The 25,382-nt window shown below is 39.6% G+C and overlaps 1 protein-coding gene across 12 annotated transcripts in view; it reads right to left on the bottom strand.

Annotated features, from left to right (window-relative positions):
* The window catches only part of ARHGEF6 (Rac/Cdc42 guanine nucleotide exchange factor 6), a 115,383-nt gene that overhangs the window by 61,678 nt on the left and 28,323 nt on the right, over window positions 1-25,382 (bottom strand). For 9 of the 12 annotated variants that reach the window (NM_001440993.1, NM_001440996.1, NM_004840.3 and 6 more), the window contains 4 exons: window positions 20,281-20,365; window positions 17,996-18,120; window positions 16,358-16,559; window positions 4,875-4,945 (listed from right to left, as the gene is read on the bottom strand). In NM_001440993.1, the coding sequence (NP_001427922.1) occupies window positions 4,875-4,945; window positions 16,358-16,559; window positions 17,996-18,120; window positions 20,281-20,365 (483 nt within the window). Of the gene's footprint in view, window positions 1-4,874; window positions 4,946-10,156; window positions 10,238-16,357; window positions 16,560-17,995; window positions 18,121-20,280; window positions 20,366-25,382 lie in introns of all 12 variants that reach the window. The other 3 variants (NM_001440994.1, XM_017029975.3, XM_011531415.3) reach the window with 1 other exon arrangement.

A 25,382-nucleotide genomic window follows, 5' to 3' on the forward strand; every position in this document is an offset into this window, starting at 1 on the left:
TTTAAAATGCTATTTCCTGGAATCAACAGCCAGAGAATTTGATGTAGCAAGTCAGGTGTGTGGCCCAGATGTCTGTAGTCTTTCTTTCTTTCTTTCTTTTTCTTTCTTTCTTTCTTTCTTTCTTTCTTTCTTTCTTTCTTTCTTTCTTTCTTTCTTTCTTTCTTTCTTTCTCTCTCTCTCTCTCTCTTTCTTTCTTTCTTTCCTTCTTTCTTTCTTTCATTCTTTCTTTCCTTCTTTCTTTCTCTCTTTCTTTCCTTCTCTCCTTCTCTCTCTCTTCCTCCCTCCCTCCCTCCCTCTCTCTCTCTCTTTCTTTCTTTCTTTTTTGAGACAGAGTCTCACTTTGTCACCCAGGCTGGAGTGCAATGGTGCAATCTCGGCTCACTGCAACCTCCGCCTCCCAGGTTCAAGCAATTCTCCTGCCTCTGTCTCCCAAGTAGCTGGGATTACAGGCCTAGGCCACCATGCCCAGCTAATTTTTGTATTTTTAGTAGAGACGGGGTATCGCCATGTTGGCCAGGCTGGTCTCGAACTCCTGACCTCAAGTGATCCACCCACCTTGGCCTCCGAAGGTGCTGGGATTACAGGCGTGAGCCACCACACCCGTATGTCTGTAGTTTTAACAAGCTCCCCAGGTGCCTCCGAGACAAAGGATCCCAACCGCATTTTGAAAAACCCACCTTACAACACCTTACAACCTTACATCATTCTCTACCATGTGGCTTACACTATCATGTTTGACCTGCCCTCCCAATGAGACCATGGGTGCCAAGACCTAAGTGCTGCACACAAATAAAGCCTGACAACCAAGCTGTATCAATTCCTTTTTCTGACTTTTACTTTTTAAATCTTCCTGGCATATAACATTAAGTTACAATGAGCAAAGAAAGACAATGGGCAGAAGAAGATTATTAGAAAAATAATTAATAGTGAGAGAAGTTTAACATATGGCAGCAATAATTGAGGACAATTAAGGAACCAAGGTCAGGGGCAGCAAAAGCTTTCTCTGGACTGCCATGTCCCTCAAGGATGCTAAGTTCCTATTCAAAACAACAAGCCAGGAGTGGCCAAGTCTCAGTTACCCACATTAAACATGCCTAGTGGCAGGTGCGGGTCTGAGCTGGGTGCCCACAGCCACTTTGGTCACACTGGACAACTATGTAACATTTCAAAATTGACATGACACCAGAATTGCATCAAGGCCTAAATGGGGCTGAAATCAGCAGATAATCCCTTAGAAACTTGAAAAAGGGGAGAATATGTCTACAGATTTACAAATTCCCAGAGGTCTCTATCCTGCCCAAGTTTACAGGATGTGATGATTAATTTTATGTGTCGACCCAAGTTGGCACATAAAATTAATCATCACATCCTGTAAGCTTGGGCAGGATAGACAGGGTGCCCAGATATTTAGCTAAACATTATTTCTGCATGTGTCTGTAAGGGTTTTCCAGATGAGATTAGCATTTAAATTAGTAGGTGGAGTAGAGCATATTGCCTGCCTATTGTGAGTGGGCTTCATCCAATCTGCTAAGGACCTGAATAGAACAAAAAGGTAGAAGAAGGGAGAATTTGCTTTCTCTGTCTGCGTATTTGAGCTAGAAAATTGATCTTCTCCTGACCTCAGAGTGAAACTTACACTATCAGCTCTCTGGTTCCCAGGCCTTTGGACTTGTACGGAATTACACCACCAGCTTTCCTGGGTCTCCAGCTTTGAGACAGTAGAGTGTGGAATTTCTCAGCCTCCATAGTCACATGTGCCAATTCCTTATTCATTCTCTCTCTCTCTCTCTCTCTCTCTCTCTCTCTCTCTCTCTCTCTCTCTCTCTCCTCCCCCACCGCCCCCCACCCCCCACATTGGTTCTGTTTCTCTGGGAAACCTGACTAATACACAGGACCAAAATAAAGGGAGCCCTGGGCTGGCAAAGACTCATTAAATGGAAGAGCATAAGAACAGGTCTGGCTGGGAGCAGTGTCTCACACCTGTAATCCCAGCGCTTTGGGAAGCCAAAGCGGGAGAACCACCTGAGGTCAGGAGTTCGAGACCAGCCTGGCCAACATGGTGAAACCCCGTCTCTACTAAAAATACAAAAATTAGCCGGGAATTGTGGTGCATGCCTGTAATCCCAGCTACTCGGGAAGATGAGGCAGGAGAATCGCTTGAACCTGGGAGGCAGAGGTTGCAGTGAGCCAAGATCATGCCACTGCACTCCAGCCTGGGCAACAGAGTGAGACTCCATCTCAAAAAAAAAAAAAAAAAAAAAAAAAGAACAGGTCTGGTCAGAGACAAGTATTATTGGGGTATAGGGATAGAAAATCTTTATGGGCCAGGCACAGTGGCTCACACCTGTAATCCCAGCACTTTCGGAGGCCAAGGCGGGCAGATAACGAACTCAGGAGTTCGAGACCAGCCTGGCCAATATAGTGAAACCCTGCCTCTACTAAAAATACAAAAATTAGCTGGGCGTGGTGGCGCTCGCCTGTAGTCCCAGCTACTCGGGAGGCTGAGGCAGAAGAATTTCTTGAACCCGGGAGGCGGAGGTTGCAGTGAGCTGAGATCGTGCCACTGCACTCCAGCCAGGGCGACAGAGTGAGACTCCATGTCAAAAAAAAAAAAATCTTTATGAAAAAGAAAGAATACATAATTTCCTGTTTTATTTAAAAATTTATATACACACATAGATATTACAGGCTATATATACATATATATGCATATATATATATACACTTACACCTACCTTAAAGAAAATTTGGCATGAAATTCACTAACATGTTAATAGTGATTATTTCTAAGTGGTGGGATTACATGTGGTGTTTATTTTCTTTTTTACATTATTTCTGTATTGTCTGATATTTTAAAAACATTTATATAACTAGTTATATAAAAGAAAAATGTTATTTCATTTTTTTAATGAAGTAAAAATCAGTCATTAGTATTCTTATAGATCTAGCAACACAAAATATCTACAATTAATGACTCTTGGAGGGAAGAAGATTTAATATACCATCAGATGAGGGCACTTTTCATGTGAGTGAAATTGATTTTACAAGTCTACAAATCCTGTGGATGAAATAGATTTTTTTTATTCAACACAGATTAGGAGGACAATCAGAACACTCAAAACATATTTTGAATTAATTGACACTAAAAATTTGCCTAACTATTCAAAGCCAGAGAAATGTGGATTTAAAAAAACCAACCAACCAAAATCTCTTCACATCCATATCTAGTTACAATATATCCAGCTGGCCAATAATTAAGCAATATTCACATCGAAGTTCTACAGGTTCTTCACAGGCTATCATGAGTTCCGCAAGACATTTGTTTTCTTTATTAGGTCTGAGGTTTGGGATGATATCTACCAAAAAAAAACTGTTAAACATATATGTCCTTTGACCTAAGCACTTAACTTTCACCATACAGATCTTTATATACTTTGGCAAAGTGATATATATAAGCTATTCAATGCAGAATTGTCTATTACAGCAAGGAACTAGAAACAACACACGTCTTCCAACAGGAGGTGGGTTATATAAACTGCAGCATGTCCAGAGTTCGACCATTATATATATAGGATTGATATAAATTCCATGAGAATCACAGAGTATACTCTGCCTTGGATAATCCCAACCACACTTTAAGTTGGTAGAATCAGCAGAGGCAGAGAGAGATCCAAAGCAGAGTGATGATATGCTCCAGACCCACAGAGAGAAGCAGCTATGGTAATATTTTCATCCACCATTCCACTACAACCTTTCTTTAAAAATTAAATCATTAGGGGTTATCTAAAAGCTAAAAGAATTGGTCAGGAAGTAAGGGAGAAGGGAACCTACCTCTGCTGGGTAATATATTTTAGCCTTGGAAATGTAAGATAAAAGATATTAACAAAATAGTCGACTGTGATTATTTATTGTCCATGTTACCTAGAGAGTTCCTTCTTGATTTTTCATATTCTCTATTGCTCATGTCATCATTATAGAGCAAATTCACTGAAGAGTGAAATTCAACTTTTTGAAACCAAATGATATTCACATACCTGTATAGAGATGTTTAAAAACTCTATCCATGCACAAAGGGAGATGAGTACGCAAGACAAACGCACATAGAACACTGGGTAAAAAGTGAAACTGTATTTCAGCTGAGGTGGTGAGGCAGGGCCGGGGGAATGACAAGGCTACCAGACAGGGAAACTTAGAGGTTAATCATGACTTGACCTTTAAATTAGTGACTAGGCCAAGTCTGGAAAGGAGACATGAAGAGAAAGCAGAGAGTAGATGAAGGAGAATGATGCGATTTCTTTTTCAAACAGGAATTTATTTTGAGTATTGCACATACCCTATTTATAGCTAACATATTTTGACATATCTGTGTTTAAGCCAGAGCCATGTCATTCCTCCCACTGTGCCAAAGGGCAGTTTTCCTTTTGGGCTCTCTTTAAAGGATGATAATATTCCAGACGATATAATAATGAAGTCATTGATTCTAAAGTAAAATTACAAAATGCAACCACTTAAAATTTATTGCATTACAGGAACTTGGAAATTCACCTTCTAAATATCTGGTAAGGGTATGTCTAACTGCTGAATTTCACCATAATTCTTACATACTAGCCAATTTCTATTTCATGCTGTTTAATAGGGCTTGCTGTGAATCCGTGCTACCTTTGAATTTTTCAGCACAGTAGATGTAAGACTTCTAGACATCTGCAAGAAGCATATAAGTAAAAGAGCTCCACTGTAATGCGAATGGCATTAGACTCATGCATGCAACTTTATTCAGTCTTTCCTTTGTGTCACCTCAACACATCAATGGTTTGACAAGTGAAAAAGTTCCATATAGAGTCAAGAAAATTTTTATTCATCATCTGAACACTTACCACAGTATAATAATTCTTGGTAAGTGGAGCAGTTTCAAATCCTTTGACGGCTTTTGGGGAGAGAGGTCTCTCTGTGAAAAAAACATTTAAATTATGTTAATATCACAGAAGGCTATGATGAACATTTTATAACATGGGTCAACTAACATACTATAAAGATTCCCAGTGGAAGGATCAATGGAAATGTACATTCCTAAACAAATGAAACTACAACTGTGCTAAACTATAGATGGTCAAAGTTAGATCTTCTTGTCTAGACCCCTCAATTTCCAAAGAAGGAATAAGCCAAGGAGTTAAGACCTAACTAAGAAATAGCAGGGCCAGGGCAAGAACTTTACTCCCAGTTGGGGTTTGTCTGCCCTCTCCATTCAACTTATTCAAAACAGATACGCAAAACCAATACTAGCCAAATGTATACAGATAGTCACCAACTTATGATGGTTCAACTTACGATTTTTCAACTTAACAATGGTGCAATAGCGATACACATTCAGTAGAAATCATACTTTATTTTGATATTTTCCTGCCTTGGCAAACTACTGTGTACATGACCTAATAAATACTTTATTATAAAATAGGCTTTGTGTTAGATAATTTTGCCCAACTGTAGGCTACTGTAAGTTTTCTGAGCACATTTAAGGTAGGCTAGGCTAAGCTATGATGTTCAGTAGGTTAGGTGTATTAATGTATTCTTGATTTATGATACTTTCAACTTATGATGGGTTTATCAGTATGTAACCCCATTGTAAGCCAAGAAGCATCTGTACTTATAATGTGCAATTTACTATACAAGTATAATAAAATATAAGTAATGGCAAGCATACTTTTCTTGGGTCTGTCTACTATGCCAACAACAAAATGATCAGAAGGTTTAACTCAATGAAAACTAGCAGGAAATTATTCTCTTTTAAGTATAATTTTAATATTATTCCACTGCGTTGTAAAATACTGCCCTTCTTTTACCTAAATTAATTTTACTTATTAAACTCATGACTAAAGGAAATCCTAGGACATTCTTTCTTTTTTTTTAAAAAAAAAACAATAAAAATATGAGACAGTCATAACAAATTTTTAGCAGTGTCACAACATAGCATCTTTCCTACTGCATTTTCTCCTCTGCTTCACTTTGGTTTATATTTTAATTTTAACTTGCTATATTTTATGCTGTTTTAAACCCTTTCTAAAGTATAGCGCAGTATAAATAACCAAATAATACTATATCATCAGACCTTGATTTTTTTAATAATATTTTCAAGTTATAAATCTATTGCAGTCCCACCCCCAAAAATTTAAAATATAGAATAGAAAATAAAACCCAGCAATTAGCCAATCACCTAGAGCTAACCATCATCATTTAGACTGTTTTTGAAGTGTGTCTTCCCATTCTTTTATGTATGTTTGTGAACACACATATGCACACACTCTTGGATCTTTCTAACCTTACCTGCAGTTTTATAATTCTTCTATTACAATATTATTTTATAAATATTTTCCCATTTAACCTTGATTTTTAATTATTATTGTATTGGAATATCCCTAATATTTATTTCATACTTAATAGCTTTTAAGACATATTATTTGATATTTACAACAACGCTGACAGGCAGACTATCTTCTCATTTTACGGAGGAGGCCACTAAGATTCAAGGAAGTGAAGTCAGTTATCTCAGGTCATGCAGCTAGGAAATGGCAGAGCCAAGATTGAAGCCCAGGTATGTCCTGACAAGAGCCTGTGTTCCTAACCAATATGATACCCAGAGATAAAGCTACTGAAGGTCTTGGTCAATGGCATGGGCAGGGGTTCCTGCTGGAGTTCAGAGGGGCTGTGAGTTTGATCTGGGATGGTTAGAGAAGACCTTGCTGGGAAGGAGGTACTCGATCTGGCCCTGAAGGGCAGATGGAATTCAAACAGGCAGGGAAGGCAGTACAGAGTTTTCTTTTCAGGGAAGATTTCAGAAACACAGATGTAGAAATGGCAATGCTCAAGGCAGAACTGTTCTTGCGACAGTGAGTTATCCAGTGGGGCCAGGTTGGGTAGAGTGAAAATAAGGCAGAAAAGTAGCAATGAGGGACAATTCTGTCACTCTCCAGAGAGGACAAGTGGAGCATAGCCAGTTCCTGGAAGCTTTATGCTAGTTCAGGATCCGCCTGGATCCACTGGTGGTTCATAAGGCTTTCCTGGGAAAATGTGACCACTATCAGAAATGAAACAGGGGACATCACTCCAGACCCTGGAGATATAAAAAGGATAATAATGGAATACTACAAACAACTCTACACACATAAATTTGACACTTATGTGTGAAATGAACCAATTCCTCAGAAAACAAAAACTACCACAACTCACCCAATATGAAATAGATCATTTGAATGGCCTTATAACTATTAAGGAAATTGAACTTATAAATTTAAAACTCTGAAAAAGGAAATCTCCAGGCCCATAAGGTGTCACTGGAGAATTCTATTAACTGTTTAAGGAAGAATCAATACTAATTCCATATAATGTCACATAGAAAATAAAAAACATCACTTCCCAAGTCATTTTATGAAACCACTATTACACTGACACCAAAACCATACAAAGGCAGTGCAAAAAAGAAAACTGCAGACCAATATCCCTCATGAATATAGATGCAAAAAAATTTACAAAATATTAGCAAGTAAAATTCAGCAATATTTTAAAAGAATTGTATACTATGGGATTCATCCTAGGTTGGTTAAATATTTTAAAATCCATTAATGTAACCCATGATCTTAACACTCTTAAAAGAAAAAAGTCACATGATAATATTAACCGATGCAGAAAAAGCACTTAACAAAATTAAACACCTATTCGAAAAAAAATAACTCATGGAAAAAAATAAGAATAAAGAAGAATTTCTTCAACTTAATAAAGTGCATCTACAAAAAACCTACAGTTAGCATCTTACATAATGGGGAAAGACTGAATGCTAAATGCTTTCCCCCTAAGATCAGGAACAAGGCAAGGATGCATGCTCTCACCACTATTAATTCAGCATAGCACTGAAGTTCTAGTTCTCTCTGCAGTCTTGGTCTAGGATGGGGAATTAACACAAAGAACAGAAGGGAGACAGATTTGGAAGGATAAACTTGGAAAGTCTAAAAAAATGTAGCCCTTGCAAATGACTGGCTCCATGAAACAGTACAAGAGGGAATGCAAAGAGAAAAACACCAGCACTATGACCTCAGTGACAATTTCTGGCCTCTTGTCCCTCCTTTGCTCCCCACCCCGACCCCTACCACTTCTTACTCCCGCCATGTGAAGGATTCTTTGAAACCCACACTCAGCAACATGCAGAGAAGGAATGAATATGTGGAGGTTCCGAGGAGACAAGTTCAGTCCCTGGGTGGTGGGGGGGATTCAAAGTGCCCTAACTAGAACGAACATGAAAATGTAAACATTTTAGGTGGTGTTCTAAGGCAATGAGGAGACTGGGCAATCCAACCAGTGCGGGGGGAAATCAGTCAATATAGTGAAGAATTCCAATGGATTGTTCGTATAATATAACTCAAACAAGAGTGTCACACAAATACAGGCATAAGAAATCCTCCTGATCCTGATGTAAAGACTCCTTTCCAATTAACTTTTGATTCTTTCTCTTCCTTTGCTGGTGTACAGATTACTATTGCCTGTTGGTGGTGATAAGACAAAAAGAAATCTAGTGACAAATAGTCTCTCTGGACAGGAAACATCTATGTGATACACCCAGGGGATTAAAACAGGAAGTCTAAATATAAAGCTCAATCCTAGCTTTGGTTATAATGAGCAGGAAGAGTGATTTCTTAATATGCCTTAATACAAATTTAATTAACCATGTACCTAATCCCCTCAATTGATATCTATATTTACTGCTAATAAGAAGTTTTAGAAGAAGGATTTGATGCCCTCTTAATTGAATCAGTGGGAGAAAATAGAATTTGTTTAAAATATCTGCTCAATCACACTTGCATCAATAATTTCTTGGCTTAAAAATTTTGCCAGGAAATTTTTAATGCAAAGTCCCAACAAAACCCTCAACCTTTCTAGGTAACAAAACAGAGACAAAAATTTAAAAAGGATATAATTACCATTATGTTGCCACTGTGCTAGCAGAAATTACTTTGATGTATAAATAACAAGTTAATTTACAAGTTACCACTGATTTTTCAAAGAGAACGGAAAATTGTATAAGTGGCTAATTTTCTCATTTATAATGTATGTGACTCAAATGAAATACAAGAGCAAAGTCCCTTAATATATGTTATGTAACTTATATAATGACTAAGTTATTAATACATGTATTTTTCATGAAATAAGATCCTTAAAAAACATATTTTTGGTCAAAATAGGGTTTTTCTCATGTAATAGGAAATCCAGAGGTAGGCAAGCAGAATTGGTGACAATGGCTTCATGATGTCATCAATGTCCAGGTTCAATCATCCTTGGAAAGAGGTTTTTATCATCATGGTCACAAAAACTTATTCTACTTTCAGCCACAAGCTCATGTTAAAAAGAGGTGTGTGTGTGTGTGTGTGTGTGTGTGTGTGTTTCACACTCACGTCTTCTATTTCTTAACTTTCTATAGTATTAGGTGGGTGATTCTTTATGCTATACGACCTCTGAAATCGGCCTCCTCTCAAAGAGCGGGAAAAAGCTATCCCCAGAGCTTTGGCCGTAATTATCTCTAGATGAGAGCTACAGTGGAATCCAAAACTTAAAACGCCACTCCCCAAGGGCAAATTTACCAGAGCACAAAGTGCTCTTGTCAATGACAGGCTCAAGGGAGGAAAACTACGCACAGCACTCCCATGGCACAGCAATCTGCAGGGTGAGGGTTGTATGGCTTTGGGCTTGTTTTGTTCTGCTTGTAAGACATTACAAAAGAATGTGTAGTATCAGGCTAAATGTCCCTCCACCCTCCAGGCTGCATGTATGAATGTGTCAGAATTACTGACTCTTCGAGTGGCCACAGTGTTATATGTTTGACCCAATAGTAAGCAGACTGAGATCACTAAAGATTTTTAGTTCCATGCCTGATTGAACTTTATAAATGGCCTAAAAGGTTGTATGGCAATGGGGTTTAAAACTCTACGTTGGCTGGGCACAATGGCTCACGCCTGTAATCCCAGCACTTTTGGAGGCCGAGGCGGGTGGATCACCTGAGGTCGGGAGTTTGAGACCAGCCTGATCAACATTCTTTACTAAAAATACAAAATTAGCCAGGCGTGGTGGCGCATGCCTGTAATCCCAACTACTCGGGAGACTGAGGCAAGAGACTCACTTGAACCTGGGAGGCAGAGGTTGTGGTGAGCTGAGATCGCGCCATTGCACTCCAGCCCGGGCAACAAGAGCGAAACTCCATCTCAAAAAAAAAAAAAAAGGGTTTCACTACATCACTTTTTTCAAACTCCTTAAAGACAAATTTTCCTAAGCTTATACATTAGTATGGAGTTCATTCAAAGAAATAAAGCCCGGGCACGGTGGCTCACCTCTGTAATCCCAGCACTTTGGAAGGCCAGGGCAGGAGGATCGCTGGAGCCCAGGAGTTTGAGACCAGCCTGGGCAACATAGTGAGATCCCGTGTTAAAAAAAAAAAAAGACAGAGAGAGATTAATTAATTAAAAATTTACAAGTATTTTCTAGACCAAACATAACACAACATAGCATTTAATTTAAAATATTCCTCGGCAGCATCCTAGATAGGTTTTGGCTTACCTACTATTTTGTGGTGGTGGCAAGAGTTGGGGTAGGAAAGAATTCAAGTCAACACAGATTTATTGAGCACCTAATTTCCCAGCAAGACATTTTTGTTACCTGAAGCTAGTCTCTTCCATTGTCCATCAAGCTCACTCTGTTCAGTCCTACCACAGAATCGTGGTGGGTTTTGTTTTCCCTGAACAATCACTGTGATTTAGATTGTCCTTGCCTCTCTTCTGGGCCTATTCACAGCTTACCTGTCTTTCAGTGTTCAGCTTAAGCCCTATGTCCTCCATGAAGCCTCCCCTAACCTCTTCAGGCACAATGCACTCTCTGTGTCTGAATACTGATGCTCTGCTATATATTTTATACTTCATCGTCCACTGACCTATACTGTCAGTTGACTCACCACCAGCTCTTATCTCTCTCCTGTGCTCCATAACCATACTGCCAACTACTTGCTAGAAATCTTCAGACCTATGACTCGGTGCACCTCTACTCAAGTACAAAACAGTTCATCATCTTCAGTACCAATCACCCGCCCAACACAGACACACACAGAGACATGCACACACAACCTCTGCCTCCTCCTGTCTTCTCTATTAACGGAGTTCAGCACACTTCAAATATTTCCAATGTCTAAAGCACCATGTTAGGCATATGAAGACAAGACAGTATACAAAGATGAACAAGTCCCCTTGACTTCCCTGTCAAGATGAGTTATGCTCCTCTCTTCTCCTCCCACCTCTCCATAGCATACTGTATTTAGCTCTATCACTAAACTTATCATATTGTATTCTAATGATGTCTTCTTACACTACAGTATGAACACCCTGAAGGCAAAAGCCATGTCTTATGCTTCTCCACCACACCAGTGTCCAAGACAGAGACTGACACCCTCATTAAGAGAGATCAACCTTTGTGGGCTGGCTAGAAGCATGACACTGCATGCCATTAAGGCGTTCACCATCAAGCTGGACCTCTAGACTTGGTATTGTTCTCATCTGTTCCCTTATCCTCAAAACTAATCATCAGCAAGTTTTTAAAATTTCATTTCAATAGTATATACTGCATCCATCCACTTCTCTTCCTCCCCACTATCCCCAGAGTAATCCACACCACTATCTGGATTGCCTGGACCTTAGCAGTAGCCTCTGCTAGTTTCTCTACACCCTTGCTGGTTATTCCTACCACTTCCCTGAAATCCATCCCCCACGCTACCTCCAGAAAGATCTTCCTAGACCATGTTATCCCTTGCTTAAAACTTGACATTGACACCGCCTCTTAATGTAGCTCCAGCTCAAGGTCCCATTCCTTATCATCATGCATCTGATTCTCAACCCAAATCACCCCACCATCCACTCTTACTTCCATGCTTGAACTTAAAAGTTCCCTCTGATCTTCTTCTCCCAGTCAGAAGCTTCTTCTATCCTTCAAGACCCAATTCAAGTGCTTCCCCACTCCTTATGTTATTGTTAATCAAATTGTTTCTTCACTGTTCCTACAGCATCTTACTCAGTCCTTTGTCTGTGCTACTTACTGTGTCCTGGCCTGTAACAGTTAGTTCTGCACAGACCTGTGTTGATTACTAGACTGTAAAGGTGCTAGGGGACGGGGTCTATGAGGTATAGATTGCGCCTAGGAGGTACTCAGTGAACAAGCTGAACAGAATTGAATTACCTACGCTGTAATATTCATTCATTTTACAAATATTTACTGAGCATAAACAAAACGAATGAAGTCTCTGCCCTTGTGGTATTTACAATTCTAATGGTAAAATGTAAACAGTAAATGAAATAAATAAGTAAACGTGTATTATGTTAGACGGGGAAAAATAATAAGCAAAAAATTTAAGCAGGGAAGAGGGATAGAGGGAGTGGGGATAGGGTTAAATTTTCTCCTGGGTGACCAGGAAAGGCCCTCCTGTGAAGTAGGCAAGTGAGTGGACCTGAAGGAGATGAGGGAGCCAGCTGTGCTGATAGCTGGAGAATGTTCCAGACAGGGGGACAGCAAGTGAGGCAGGAGCCTGTCTGGCACAGGCAGCCAAGAGACCAGTGTGGCTAAAGTGGAATGAGTGAGGGGAAGAGAGATCAGAGAGGAAGCCAAAAGGGCAACGGAAGGCCAGATCCTGGAGGACCTTGGAGGCTATTGTGATGGCCTTGGCCTTTTCTTTTATTGAGATGGGGAGCCATGACCCAAGTTACATTATTATTATTATTATTATTTTTAGACAGAGTCTCACTCTGTCACCCAGGCTGGAGTGCAGTGGCACGATCTCAGCTCACTGCAACCTCCGCCTCCTCGATTCAAACTATTCTCCTGCCTTAGCCTCCCAAGTAGCTAGGACTATAGGCATGCGCCACCATGCCCAGCTAATTTTTGTATTTTTAGTAGAGATGGTGTTTCTCCATGTTGCCCAGGCTGATCGCGAATTCCTAACCTCAAGTGATCCGCCCGCCTCAGCCTCCCAAAGTGTTGGGATTACAGACATGAGCCACCGTGCCCGGCCCCAAGTTACATTTTGAAAGAATCACTCTGGGTACTGAGTTTAGACTGGATTATAGGAGTGACAAAAACAGGGGCAGAGATGCCAATTAGGAAGCTGCTGCCATAAGCTAAATGAGAGAGGTTGTTCCATACACTGCTAGTTCCAGGCCTTCCCTGACTAGCACTCATTTCCTGACCCAAGCAACTCAGACCTGTCCTTGACAGTTGGGTTAGATGCTTCTAAGGGTTACCTAAGTGCTCAAGTCAGAGTCGGAGCTTGCCACATGAATCCTAAGCTGAGTCCTAAACCAGAGAGAATATAGGAGAAATTTTAAAATGAAGGCCCCTAAGACCAGAACAAATAACCTGGGGCAGTCTATAAGGGAGTGGCCAGACTGCTACAAGGAGTCACAGTGAGGGACATTATAAGGAGAGTCGTCAAAGTGAGGGTGTGCTGTTCACTTCCCAGGTCCCCTCGCAGTGCTTGGGATTCCTGGACAAAATTACTGCTCCTTTTAGTTTTGCAGATAAAGACACTGTATCAGGGAACAATGTTAGAGTGAACCTGGAAAATCTTTTAGGGATTTTCCTAAATTATATCAACAAAATTATATCGATTGAAAGATGTAGTGAGAGGTAAAAATCGTCTGTGAATATCATCAAAACCAAGGAAATTCCAGGCAAAGCCTGTGGAAATACTCCAGGGCTCAATAGAACCTTCTTGATTCCCAGTAATTAAAAATGCTAAGAAGTCTCCATATACGTATATAATTATAAATCTGTTAGTAAACATATTCCATTAAAGGGGATACCCCTTTTAACACAACATAGAACACAGAAAAGTGTGAAAATTAATTTTATCTTAAACACTTTAGGAAAAAGCTCCTAACTCTGGTTGTCGGGGGGAGAGTGCAAAGAGAAGAGGAACTTTCATTATCTACATTATACAGCTGACCCTTGAACAACATGGGTTTGAACTTTGCAGGCCCATCCCATTTATACGTGAAGACAATGAAAATGAAGACCTTTATGATGATCTACTTCCACTTAACTAAGAGTAAATGTATTTTCTCTTCTTTATGATTTTCTTAATAACATTTTCTTTTCCCTAGCTTACTTTATTATAAGAACACAGTATACAATACATATAACATACAATCAGTAAGGCTTCCAACCAACAGTAGGCTATTAGAAGTTAAGTTTTGGAGGAGTCAAAAGTTATACATGGATTTTCTTTTCTTTTTTTTTTTTTGTGTGTGTGTGTGTGTTTTATTTATTCTCAGTCTTAAAGTCGTAACTTTAGGGCAGTGATGAAAATAAAGCAATGCTCTGAACACTAGAATCTAGAAGTAACTAATAAGCCCTAATGATCCTACTGCCTTTAAGGGTCTTCAAGTTCCACATGTTTGAAGAAGGAAATTTATGTATTGAAATCATTCTAGAGAAGGCAAGGAAAGTGTGGGAAATCCTACCAAGTTACTCTGGAGAAAGACAGCTGCCTCCAAATATTCACATATTTCCCTCTTGATGAAATTGATGGAATGCTTCTTGATATTCTTAGTGTCTCATCCAGTACCTGCTCCATATTGAATGAATTGAGCCCTTAATGAGATGCCACTCAGGTGCCAGCCTTCAAGAATATCAAAATGAATCAGAAATTTTCAGCTCTCAAGAGCTCAGAGTTATATACGGATTTTCAACTGCATGGGGGCTCGGTGCCCTTAATCCCCATGTTGTTCAAGAGTCAACTGTAGCCAGGCGCAGTGGCTCACGCCTGTAATCCCAGCACTTTGGGAGGCTGAGGCGGGCGGATCACAAGGTCAGGAGATCAAGACCATCCTGGCTAACACGGTGAAACCCCATCTCTACTAAAAATACAAAATTTAGCCAGGCGTGGTGGCAGGCGCCTGTAGTCCCAGCTGCTGGGGAGGCTGAGGCAGGAGAATGGCGTGAACCCGGGAGGCGGAGTGTGCAGCAAGCCGAGATTGCGCCACTGCACTCCAGCCTGGGTGACAGAGCAAGACTCCGTCTCAAAACAACAACAACAAAAAAAAATAGAGTCAACCGTATATTTCCAGAATGTTTCATTTTACTTACAGTGAGCCTAAAATTTTATTAATTAATTAATAGTATCAATTTTGAGGCATTGAAAAAGCAATAAGATATTTACAAAAGAAATAATGCGCTGAGCTAACCACTCAAAAGAGCCCTTGTGTAAATATTTTTGAAAAGTAAAGAGATGTAATAATGTGAATAACTAAATGCTGTTTTATGTGTATTGTGAGGGACATATTCTTATGTATAAGGGTTTGCTGGGTTTTTTGCAATATCAGAAGAGCCTACCTTCTTAAACAATAAAGGGCAAGTGAATTATCAAAAAAACTCTAAGGAAAACTACTGAAGAGTGGCCAGGCACAGTGGCTTATGCCTGTAATCCCAGCACCGTGGGAGGCCGACACAGGAAGATCACTTGAGCCCAGGAGTTCAAGACCAGCCTGGGCAACACAGGCAGATCCGTCTCTACAAAAAGTTTAAACATTAGCTGGGTGTGGAAGGCGTGCACCTGTAGTCCCAAATACTTGGGAGGCTGAGGCAAGAAGATCACTTGAGCCCGGGAGGTCCAGGCTGCAGTGAGTTGTGATAGCCACTGCACTCTGCCTGGGCAACAGAGTGAGACCCTGTCTAAAAATAATAATTAAAAAAAGAGAGAGAGAGAAGAAAAGACTACTGAAGAGCAATTCGATTTCATTCTCTGGCTATTGTTACAAAAAAAAGGTAAACAGCTAGCAGTATTCAGTGAGTTAAGGGCAATCTTGTTCAGCATCAAAGCGGCCAGACAGCTTCCTGCAGCCCTATCATTATTATCTCTCATGTCTGAGGCATTTAGTCTCAGGTCTGCTTACAGGGCTTAAGGCTAAAAAAAGGAAGTTAGCACATGGCCTCTCTTATTATTGGATTCTGCCATGGTAAGTTTTAGAGTGGTGAGAAGGACTATGTACTATATTACATGGGCTAGAATTAGTAGACATAAAGGGATACAGTTAGGGTGGACCAGTTGTCTGAGCTTTGAATTCCTTTGCTTTTTTTATTTTTCTGCTGCCTTAATGTAATCTAAATACAATTTGTTTCAAAATATCTAATCACAGATTTTTCCCAGTTCTGTTCTACTCTTATTTTTGGCATACACATACAAGTATAAACAGCTTCTGTTAACCAATTAAAACTACACAATTTTCAGTAAGAATACCAAGAAAGTACAAGAGTCACAATCAAAAAGCCTTTTAAAAACTTCACTTACCACTGGATTTAATTTCACGGACATAATTACTGGGGAACCAGCCTGTTCTCCCATTTAATGTGCCTTCCCACCAGCCTCCTTCTTCAACTCGTGTGACGTAAATGATGTCCCCCTTACAAACTGACAGTTCATCCTCATTAGTCTGCTTAAAGTTGAATCTTGCTTTTACTATCAACTGATGACTTCCATTTTCCGTCATCTCCTAGAGAAACAAAAGCCACACCAGATTAAGCACTCATCTAAATAAGGCAGGGGTAGAAATGATATGGATATAGGCAAATAAAGTGGAGGAAGCAAAGACAAAACCCCAGATCCATCTCAGTCCTGAGTTTTTAACTTAGGAATCCATGAATGGGTCTCAGAGGGATTAATAAATCCCTCAAAACAGTATGTAAACTTTGGCATTTGTGAGAATCTGTATTTTGAAGTGGGTCATAGCTTTCATTTTTCTCTCCACACCCCTCCCCATTATCTAAAGATTATCTATTTAACTAAGCCAGATAACAAAGTAGAGTGATAAGCTATTCCACCCTGGATAAGCTATTCCACCCTGCCTCTACTCAACACACAAACAGTCCACATAATTATATAACCAAGATGTACTAACCTACCCTCCATAAAATCTGCCTCCCATCTCCTAATTACTAAGGATATCTTAATTTGGCTAAGACTTATTTATATGCAAAGATCAAATAACCCATAGTTGCCTAAGTCAGGAATTCTTTTTTCCATTTTTTTATTTTTATAGATTTAGGGGGTACAACTGCAGTTTTATTACATGGATATATTAAGTCAGGAATTCTTAATCTGTCATGTATAAACTGGACTTCCTTTTTGAGGGTCACAGACCCTTTAGAGAATCTGATGAGCACAACATATTTTTGTCTAAATAAGTTCATACACATGGGCTTTTGTATACAATTTGAGAGGGTACCAGGGGTGTAGAGACATAGTGTTCATCAGCCTTTCAAAGGGATCTGTGATCCAAAAAAGTTAAGAACCACATGCTCAAGTGCTTTGGAAGTAATAGGTCATAATGTCTTACTGCAAGTGGGTGGCTTTTGACAGGAAATAAAGGTTTCACCCAAAGAGCAGAAGATGAGGCATTTCCTCCCAAATAAAAGCTCCCAATAAGAGCAAGTGAAAAGGCAACTGGGAGATCCTAATATAGAAGCTCATCATAGACTGAAATTTAAAATCAAGCCTTCCTCATTAGGAATGGAAAGAGAAAAATAAAAATGGCAATAATAATGAGGATACTAATCAATATTTATTGATTGCCTACTATGTGTCAGGCACTATTTAGTTCTAATAAAACAAGGGATAGGGAAATTAACAGCAAACTGCCATCAGAAAGTAGCCATAATGACTTCCATTTGCATAGCATTCTCAGTTAAGTGACTTGCCTAATTCTCGTAAGGGACAGAGCTGGAGCTTCAATCCGGATTTTTGCCCCACCACATGCCTTTGATTTGCTCCTTCGGGCCAGCCTGAATTGGTGCTCGGTTTATAATTAGTTTTCTCAGTGATGCCCAAAACAACCCGGATGGCTGTCTCACCACATATGGAGATGCAACTAGGATATCAATCTAATTTTATGGATTTTAAAACAGACGGAGAATTGGGGACTATACTTACCACTGTCTTTGACTGCCTTTGCAGCCCTGAAACTGTGCTAGAAACTGCTCCCTGTGGGTTTGTCTGAGAAGTATTAGCAGCACTAAGAGAAGAGGAACGTCCACATGGTCTTTCTGATAGCTGATCTGTGAAAAGAGGAAAAGGCATGTTAAAGGAACCACTCAGATCAGAAAAACATCTACCGCATAACATTATCTTTCTCAGGATACTATCAGAGGCATCCTGGCTGTAATTCTAACTGTTATCATTATGAACATGCCAAGTGTATTTCAATCCCCCTTCCCTTTTTGGTGGCCAACTTCCTGTTCTTAACCTTACTGGCCATCGTGCTCCAGTAGAATGAAAAACAGCGACAGAACCACATTTTCTCTTAACCATTTCCCTACAACTCTTCCCTCCTGAACCAGTTGCAACAGTATGCCCTGTTATCCAAGGCAGAACTATATTGGGTACCAAACAGCTGTTTGTGGCTCTTATTACTTTGAAATATTTCAAATTTCTCTCTTTGTTTTTTGGCCCATAACTCAGTGGCTCATTTCTTACTCACACGTAACAATATGTGTGGCATATATGATGTAAAATCTCCCTGATGTGTGTGGGGCAGGGTGGAGAATGAGAGTGAAAGAGAAGATGTGTTTGGGAAAGATGTAATCTTGATACTAGAATAATTTTTTTAACAATCAGATTCAAGAGTCTTCTCTTCCTTGAAACCTTGTGAAATTCGACCAGGCCAGAGCTGAGCTGGATGTTTTCAGTTTGTTGAGAGTATACAAAAGAGAGGAGCTGGCTTCTTGACAAATTTCAATAAGGGTTCTTTTCCTCTCCATTTATTTTTAAAAGATATAAACTGCAAAAGTCTAAAGCCCAAACATTCCCTAGGCGACAAGCTCAGTATCCAAGTAATTTCCTTGATGCTGTGGGTTTTAACTTTCACCTCCTTGTATTTTATAAATATCTGTGGCAAGGGAAGAGACTGTAAAACTTGCTAGGAGAGTTTGGCAAAGGAACGTATAATTTGTGTGGCATAATGTTAGAATTACACGATCCTCCCTGACTAGAACTGGATAGTTGTCATGTGTGTTAAATATAGTTACTTGAATTAGCTGTACTTTCAGCTATACGCCTTGCAATAGCTCAAAAGCATTTTTTTTTCCAAATAGCAAAAGAACAACTTTGGAGAAGTATTTTTACTTGTATTGCTATTATATACAGCTCTTTTGACAAAAACTATAATTACTCGATAGCTTCCTAGATGCTCTAACCTATTTGGCACTTGATTATATTGTCTGCTCTTGTCCTCTAATTGTTTCACGTGGGTAAGTTGAGTCTCCTTAAATAGACAGTAATTTTCTCAAAGGCAGGGACCATAGCTTTGACATTTTTTGTAGCACCTGGCGATGCTGGGCACACAGCCTCTTGACTCTACAACAGTTTGAGCAGCAAGCCTCGTGCTTGGGCATAAGGGCTCTGTAGTCATTCAGATGTGGGTCTGAATCCCAACTCAGCGACTAACTTTCTAGTTGGGCAACTGTTGGCCTGACTTTCCTTATCTGTAATATGGACCTAATAATAATAATACCTACCCCCAGTGTTGTTTCAAGGATTGGATGAGATCACCTGTGGCTCTTATGACAGCCTAGATCCAGGGCAAGAGCTCAAAGCATTTTAAGTATGATTATTACTATTCAGCTGTTGGTAAAATATACCAGGGAAGGAGTGAAGCTACATTCTAAGTGTATCATCATTTTCTTCACATTTACTAGCATTTATATTTAATACCTCTAGTGTGGTAGGTGTTAAACATTTAAATAAAAGATATTATTTTCACTCCCTATGACCCCAAGATTTCATTTTTGGTGCAAGGCTACTGAGGGGTTCCTTTACATGGACAAAGGCATACATAAAACAATGAGAAAAATATGTCTCTAGTGGGGAAAGGGAAGTGACGGCTGTATTTTGTAAACTCTATGAAAAAGGGAACTGGTCTTTCCTTTTTCTTCTCTGTTTTGTTATACTCAGTTGGTGATTCAGAGCTTTGAATGGAATAGTTTCTTAGTTCTTATCATTATATTAAGGGCATTAGAATAACATCTATGATAGGTATATTTTAAATCCTAAGCCATGAAAAATTCAAGCATTTGACATTTGTTGGGGTGTATTTGGGGGAGCAAGGGGAAAATTTGCATCACGAGAACAATCCTGGCCAGAGTTGGCTCCTAGGGTAATCACAAACACATGGATTCAAAAATGTCACCCAGAACATATAAATCACAAGCCCGGCTTACCTTCTGTTGCTTTGTTGACAGCTAAAAGAGTACTCAGTACCTTGGAGAAATTGACCCCTGAATAAAGGTCATCAGGATCAAATATCTATGAGAAAGGAAAATTGAAACCGTAAGACACTACAAGTATTCAACTCAACAAACAAAACTATCAAAAGGCCACTTCCTCCAGCTCTCCGGAAAAAAAAAAAAAAAAAAAAAGTGTAGAAGCCAAGACACAAACCTCCATATACCTTTGGGAGAAATGAGAGCAGCAGTTGAGCCGCCTAATGACATGTGGCAGGCCATCAGTGAGTCAGAGCAAAGCAGTAATGGGAAATGAGAGCCAAGCTGAGAAGGCAGCGCCCACCAGGAAATAAACAGTGCATACTCAGACCCACTCTTCTGGCCTGAATGTATCAATAGTTTCAGCCCAGTTACAGGAAGCTCATATGCATGGGTTACAATCAATGCCCATCACCTACATAATGTCCTCGACAGTCCATAAATAAGGAGGTGGAGCCTTTTTGACATGGTTGCATCTGTACAGTTTATTAGCTGTGCCTAGTTGAGTCACTGTCAAAAGTGCCTTTTTCTCTGCTCTCCTTCCTCCCAACTGCCACCCGCTGCATCCCAACTGCCTAGGATCCCAATTCCATGTTGCCCAAACTTTCTGCCCAGGTCTGCCTTTTGCTCCCAGCTTCAGTTCTGTTTCTGCTGTTTGACCTTGCCCCTCTCAGCTCATCATGAATTCAAGTATTTGCCTGCCTGGGCCTATGGGCTCTTCCTGGCTTTAGATGACTTTCCCAAATATGACCTCTGGCCTGTCTAATACTACTCAACTCTTGGCAAAAAACACATTAAGGAAATACATTTCACTTTACCAGTCAACTGTCAATCTGATATGCTATTGTCCCCAGTGAAGATACCAATCAGATGTTGTTTTCAATACAATTTACCTGTTACCTTTGAAATGTAGTCAGTGTGTTAAAATATATTGAGTCTCAAATATGTATATTTGAAATTAGAAGTGTTCTCATGCACAGGTACAATCTATTAATTTGCCAGCCAACAATGTAAGTATGCATATCTGAAGGTAACCAGATGCCCACCTTCTGGATGGAAATGCCCCTTCTAAAAACATTTTGTTCCAGGATGTCTAGAAGTCTCTTAAAGAAAACAGATTGCATCATTTTTTCCCCAAATGTGGTGATGGAAATAAAATGTACCTTTTCATATGGGACATGATTGGTAATGGGCATAGGATTTTAAAGGGTCTGTCTTCCCATTAGGTAGAGCCATTTGTTCCATTTTTAAGCTGCATATTTTCTGGGAACCATATCAAGACAAATTTCTATCTTTTTTGTACATGTTCTTGAAAACCTATAATCTGTTTTTAGAGTGAAAATATATAATATCAATTTTTCACGTTTTGGGGGGTCAATAAAGATACATGCAAATGCAAACCTACACAAGTCTGCCTATTCTAGGATTCACTGCTTTATTCATTTAATCAATGAATATTTTGCATTCAAAGTTAAAATGACCAAAAAGCCCAGATGCATCTAAAAATGAGACATTAATATATTTCTGGTAAAAGAGTAATGCTAATATTACTAAAGAGTTAAACAACAACACATTCCAAATATATTTCTGAATGCTACAATATAAAATTCAAACTTTTCCAGAAATACATTGACAAGAGTTTTGTTTTAGTTTGTCAAAGCCTGGGTGAACAAGAGGCAATAGACTAGAGAGAGTGTCTAGTATCTCCGGGGATTTCAGACTTATTGAGTCTCCCTTAGAACTGATCAACTGGGAAAATGTTAATGACATGTATGCCAAAATAGTAGCAAAGCAAAAAAAATCACTTGTTTTTAGCCCATCAGTCCTAATGGGAGTGTGCATGTGTGTGTGCATGTGGATACATGTTTTGGGTGGGTGTGGTAGAGATGAGTAGATCTAAAATAATAAGCAGAAGTTAAATATTAGCAGAATAAGGCATGAGAGCAAAAGTTGTGATAAAAAACCTCTCCCTCTGGTTTTAGTTGTTCCTTATCCAGGGTTATTAAATGCCTATACATGGCAACACTGGTATTATTCACTTGTACAAGTACTTGACTGATTTTGAAAATAAATAAACTAATCAGAAAATGAAATGTGCATCAAGAAGAGTCATTGCATCTGCTTGAGGGAAGTTTCCTGAACTGTACTCGGTTCTCTTTTGAGAAAACCCCAATATACTCAAGTTTATCCATGGACACTGTTCTTGCTGCAAGCCTATTCTGAGGCACTAGAAACTACAGAGGAAGGAGTTGGAAGAAGCCTCTGGGAACTGCTAGAGAAAGCAACGCCTAAGCATTATTATTTCAGAGTAGCTGGAGAATCAGATACAACCACAAACACCCTTCACCACACTATACCTTCTAAGTCCTAAATTGAATGATATTGAAAATTCCACCCTAGATCTTTCTTCCATGCACTTCAGAGAGCTCCCCTATGAAAATGGAAATATTATCTGGAGGGATCACAACATTTTCAGCCACTATCAGTTATTTATGTCTTAGTGGAAATGAGCAGTGTGAGACCAAGTTTAGAGATGTTGATGTGGAGAAAGACTAAGGGCTCTGGTCCCCAAATAGGAGAAAGCAAAGGAGAATTCCCCAATGTAGAGAGGGTGTGAGAAGAACAAGGAAAGGTAGATTAAAGTACAGACCACTTTTTCTAGGACTAATCCCACTCATTTATACATCCAAAATAGAGAACCAATTCCCTTTTCTGTCTGCAAAGCACTGGAACTTGTTAAAAAGGTAATGTAAATTTGCACATTTATGCTGTATGTAATTTTCCAAAGTCATTTTCAATGAAATTTTTCAAAGTCAAAGTCAAATCATGGCAAAGTCATGATGATACTCATCTTCTAGTACCCTGTGCAAGCCTCACTAGTCTGTTCAGTGTCTCTGGTTTGTGACTGAGTCCCAGATTAGCTGAACTTTCTTTATACCTATTTTGGTGCACAAAAAGCCAGTTAGTTCCAGTTAGATCCGTGAAGGTCAGATGAACAGCAGGATTCCCTCCCTCCATTCATCTTACCACTACTGTGACTCAGACAAGAAAAAAGTATTACTTCTTAGACTACGGCTAGATGGTGTCAAGGTATCATTCCTGCAATCAGATGATGCAATGTTCAAATCTAACAACAATAAAAACATTTACTCTAACCAATAGGACAGACAGGGATTAAACTTTATTAAAGATATTTTAAGTATTTACATATAGCCAACCTAAGTTGCATTCCTACATCAGTAGATGAAATCAAACTTTTTTTTTTTTTTTTGAGGCAGAGTCTCACTGTATCCCCCAGGCTGGAGTGCAGTGGCATGATCTCAGCTCACTGCAACCTCCGCCTCCCAGTTTCAAGCAATTCTCCTGCCTCAGCCTCTCGAGTAGCTGGGATTACAGGGACCTGCCACCATGCCCGGCTAATTTTTGTTTGTTTGTTTGTTTGTTTTTGTTTTTGTTTTTGTATTTTTAGTAGAAATGGGGTTTCATCATGTTGGCCAGGCTGGTCTCAAACTCCTGACCTCAAGTGAGCCACCTACCTCAGCCTGCTAAAGTGCTGGGATTACAGGCGTGAGCCACCGCGCCCAGCCCAGACATTTAATTTTTAAATGTTTCCCTACAGCTTTTTATTCTAGATATCCCCAATGACAGCAAAACCTATTTGCAAACCACTAAACACCAGGTGTTAATTGTGAATTATTGGGGATCTGCCAATGTAAACTGCAAGAAGTTAATATTTCTATAGCATTACAAATAGAACCTTTTGGAGTAGTTCTCAGTTTCAACATGTATGCTATTTTATGACACTTTCCCTAAACTGCAAAAAGCCAGGAAGCATATGAGAATAAACTTTCCCAACTCCCTGTTCCATTCCCTCACTTATCTTATAGCTACTGTTTACTGATTTACTGAGCTCCTGCTATGTTCCTGGCACCACGCTTGGACATCACATACATATTGCTATGATCTGAATGTTTGTGCCCTTCCCAAATTCATATGTTGAAACCTAATCACCAGTATAATGGTATTTGGAGGTGGTGGCATTTAGAGGTGATTAGATCATGAGGGCATAGCTCTCATGACTGGGATTGTTGACTTTATCCAAGAGGCCCCAGAGAGCTACCTTGTCCCTTCCACCATGTAAGGACATAGAGAGAAGGTACTATCTATGAATAGGGAAGTAGGCCCTCACCAGGATACTAAATATGTCTTGATCTTGGATTTCTGGCCTCCAGAACTATGAGAAATACACTTCCATTGTTTATAAGCTACCTGGTTTATGGCTTTTTGTTCTGGTGGTCTGAACAGACTAAGATACAAATATATTTTTTTATTTGCATTTGATTCTCCCAGCAAGCCCATGATGTCAGTACAATTATTTTCCCCATTCCACGGATGAGTAAACTAAGACTCAGAGTAGTTAAGTCACAGGGCAGGAAAATGATGGAGCCAATAAAGATACACAAGAAAATGCTCTGAGGGGCATTGTAGCCCTGCATGTACACCTTATGTTTCCATGAGACATAGAGAAAAAATGAAAAAGCAATCCATGAGTCTGTATGCGAAAAGAAATCCTTTGCTTCTGTCAATACAAGTAGCATCTGTATCATCTGCATCGAGTTTGTTATAGCCTCTAAAATGATTAATTCAACTAATTGTAGCAAAGAGAAAATTTTCCATATTACAAGACTGTCTCCACAGGGGCCTTGCCTAATTCCTGTGCTGTCCTTCCCATTTCAAGGGTCAGCCTTCACCTAGGAGGCACTTGGCCACATTTGCCAAAAGAGGGGAAAAGCTACACTAAGCTCCTCCTATTTGTTGAACCAGGTCTGCCTCGTGAGCCACGATCCATATTTGTGAGGTCCTGGTCTGGTAGGGGTCCAGCTCGTGATTACAGAACCAAGCTAAAACATCTGTGCCACGTGCAATGACACCTAGCCTCCTGATTTTCTTGACATCATGCTCTAACCACCTGAGTTAACCAGTCACAGCAGTCTAGCCACATCTTAGTTAAGAAAAGAAGGCATACCCTACCCTGGTTCAGAACTGGTCATCTTTAATGT

This window comes from Homo sapiens, chromosome X (genome assembly GCF_000001405.40).
Source record: "Homo sapiens chromosome X, GRCh38.p14 Primary Assembly".
NCBI classification, from domain to species: domain Eukaryota; kingdom Metazoa; phylum Chordata; class Mammalia; order Primates; family Hominidae; genus Homo; species Homo sapiens.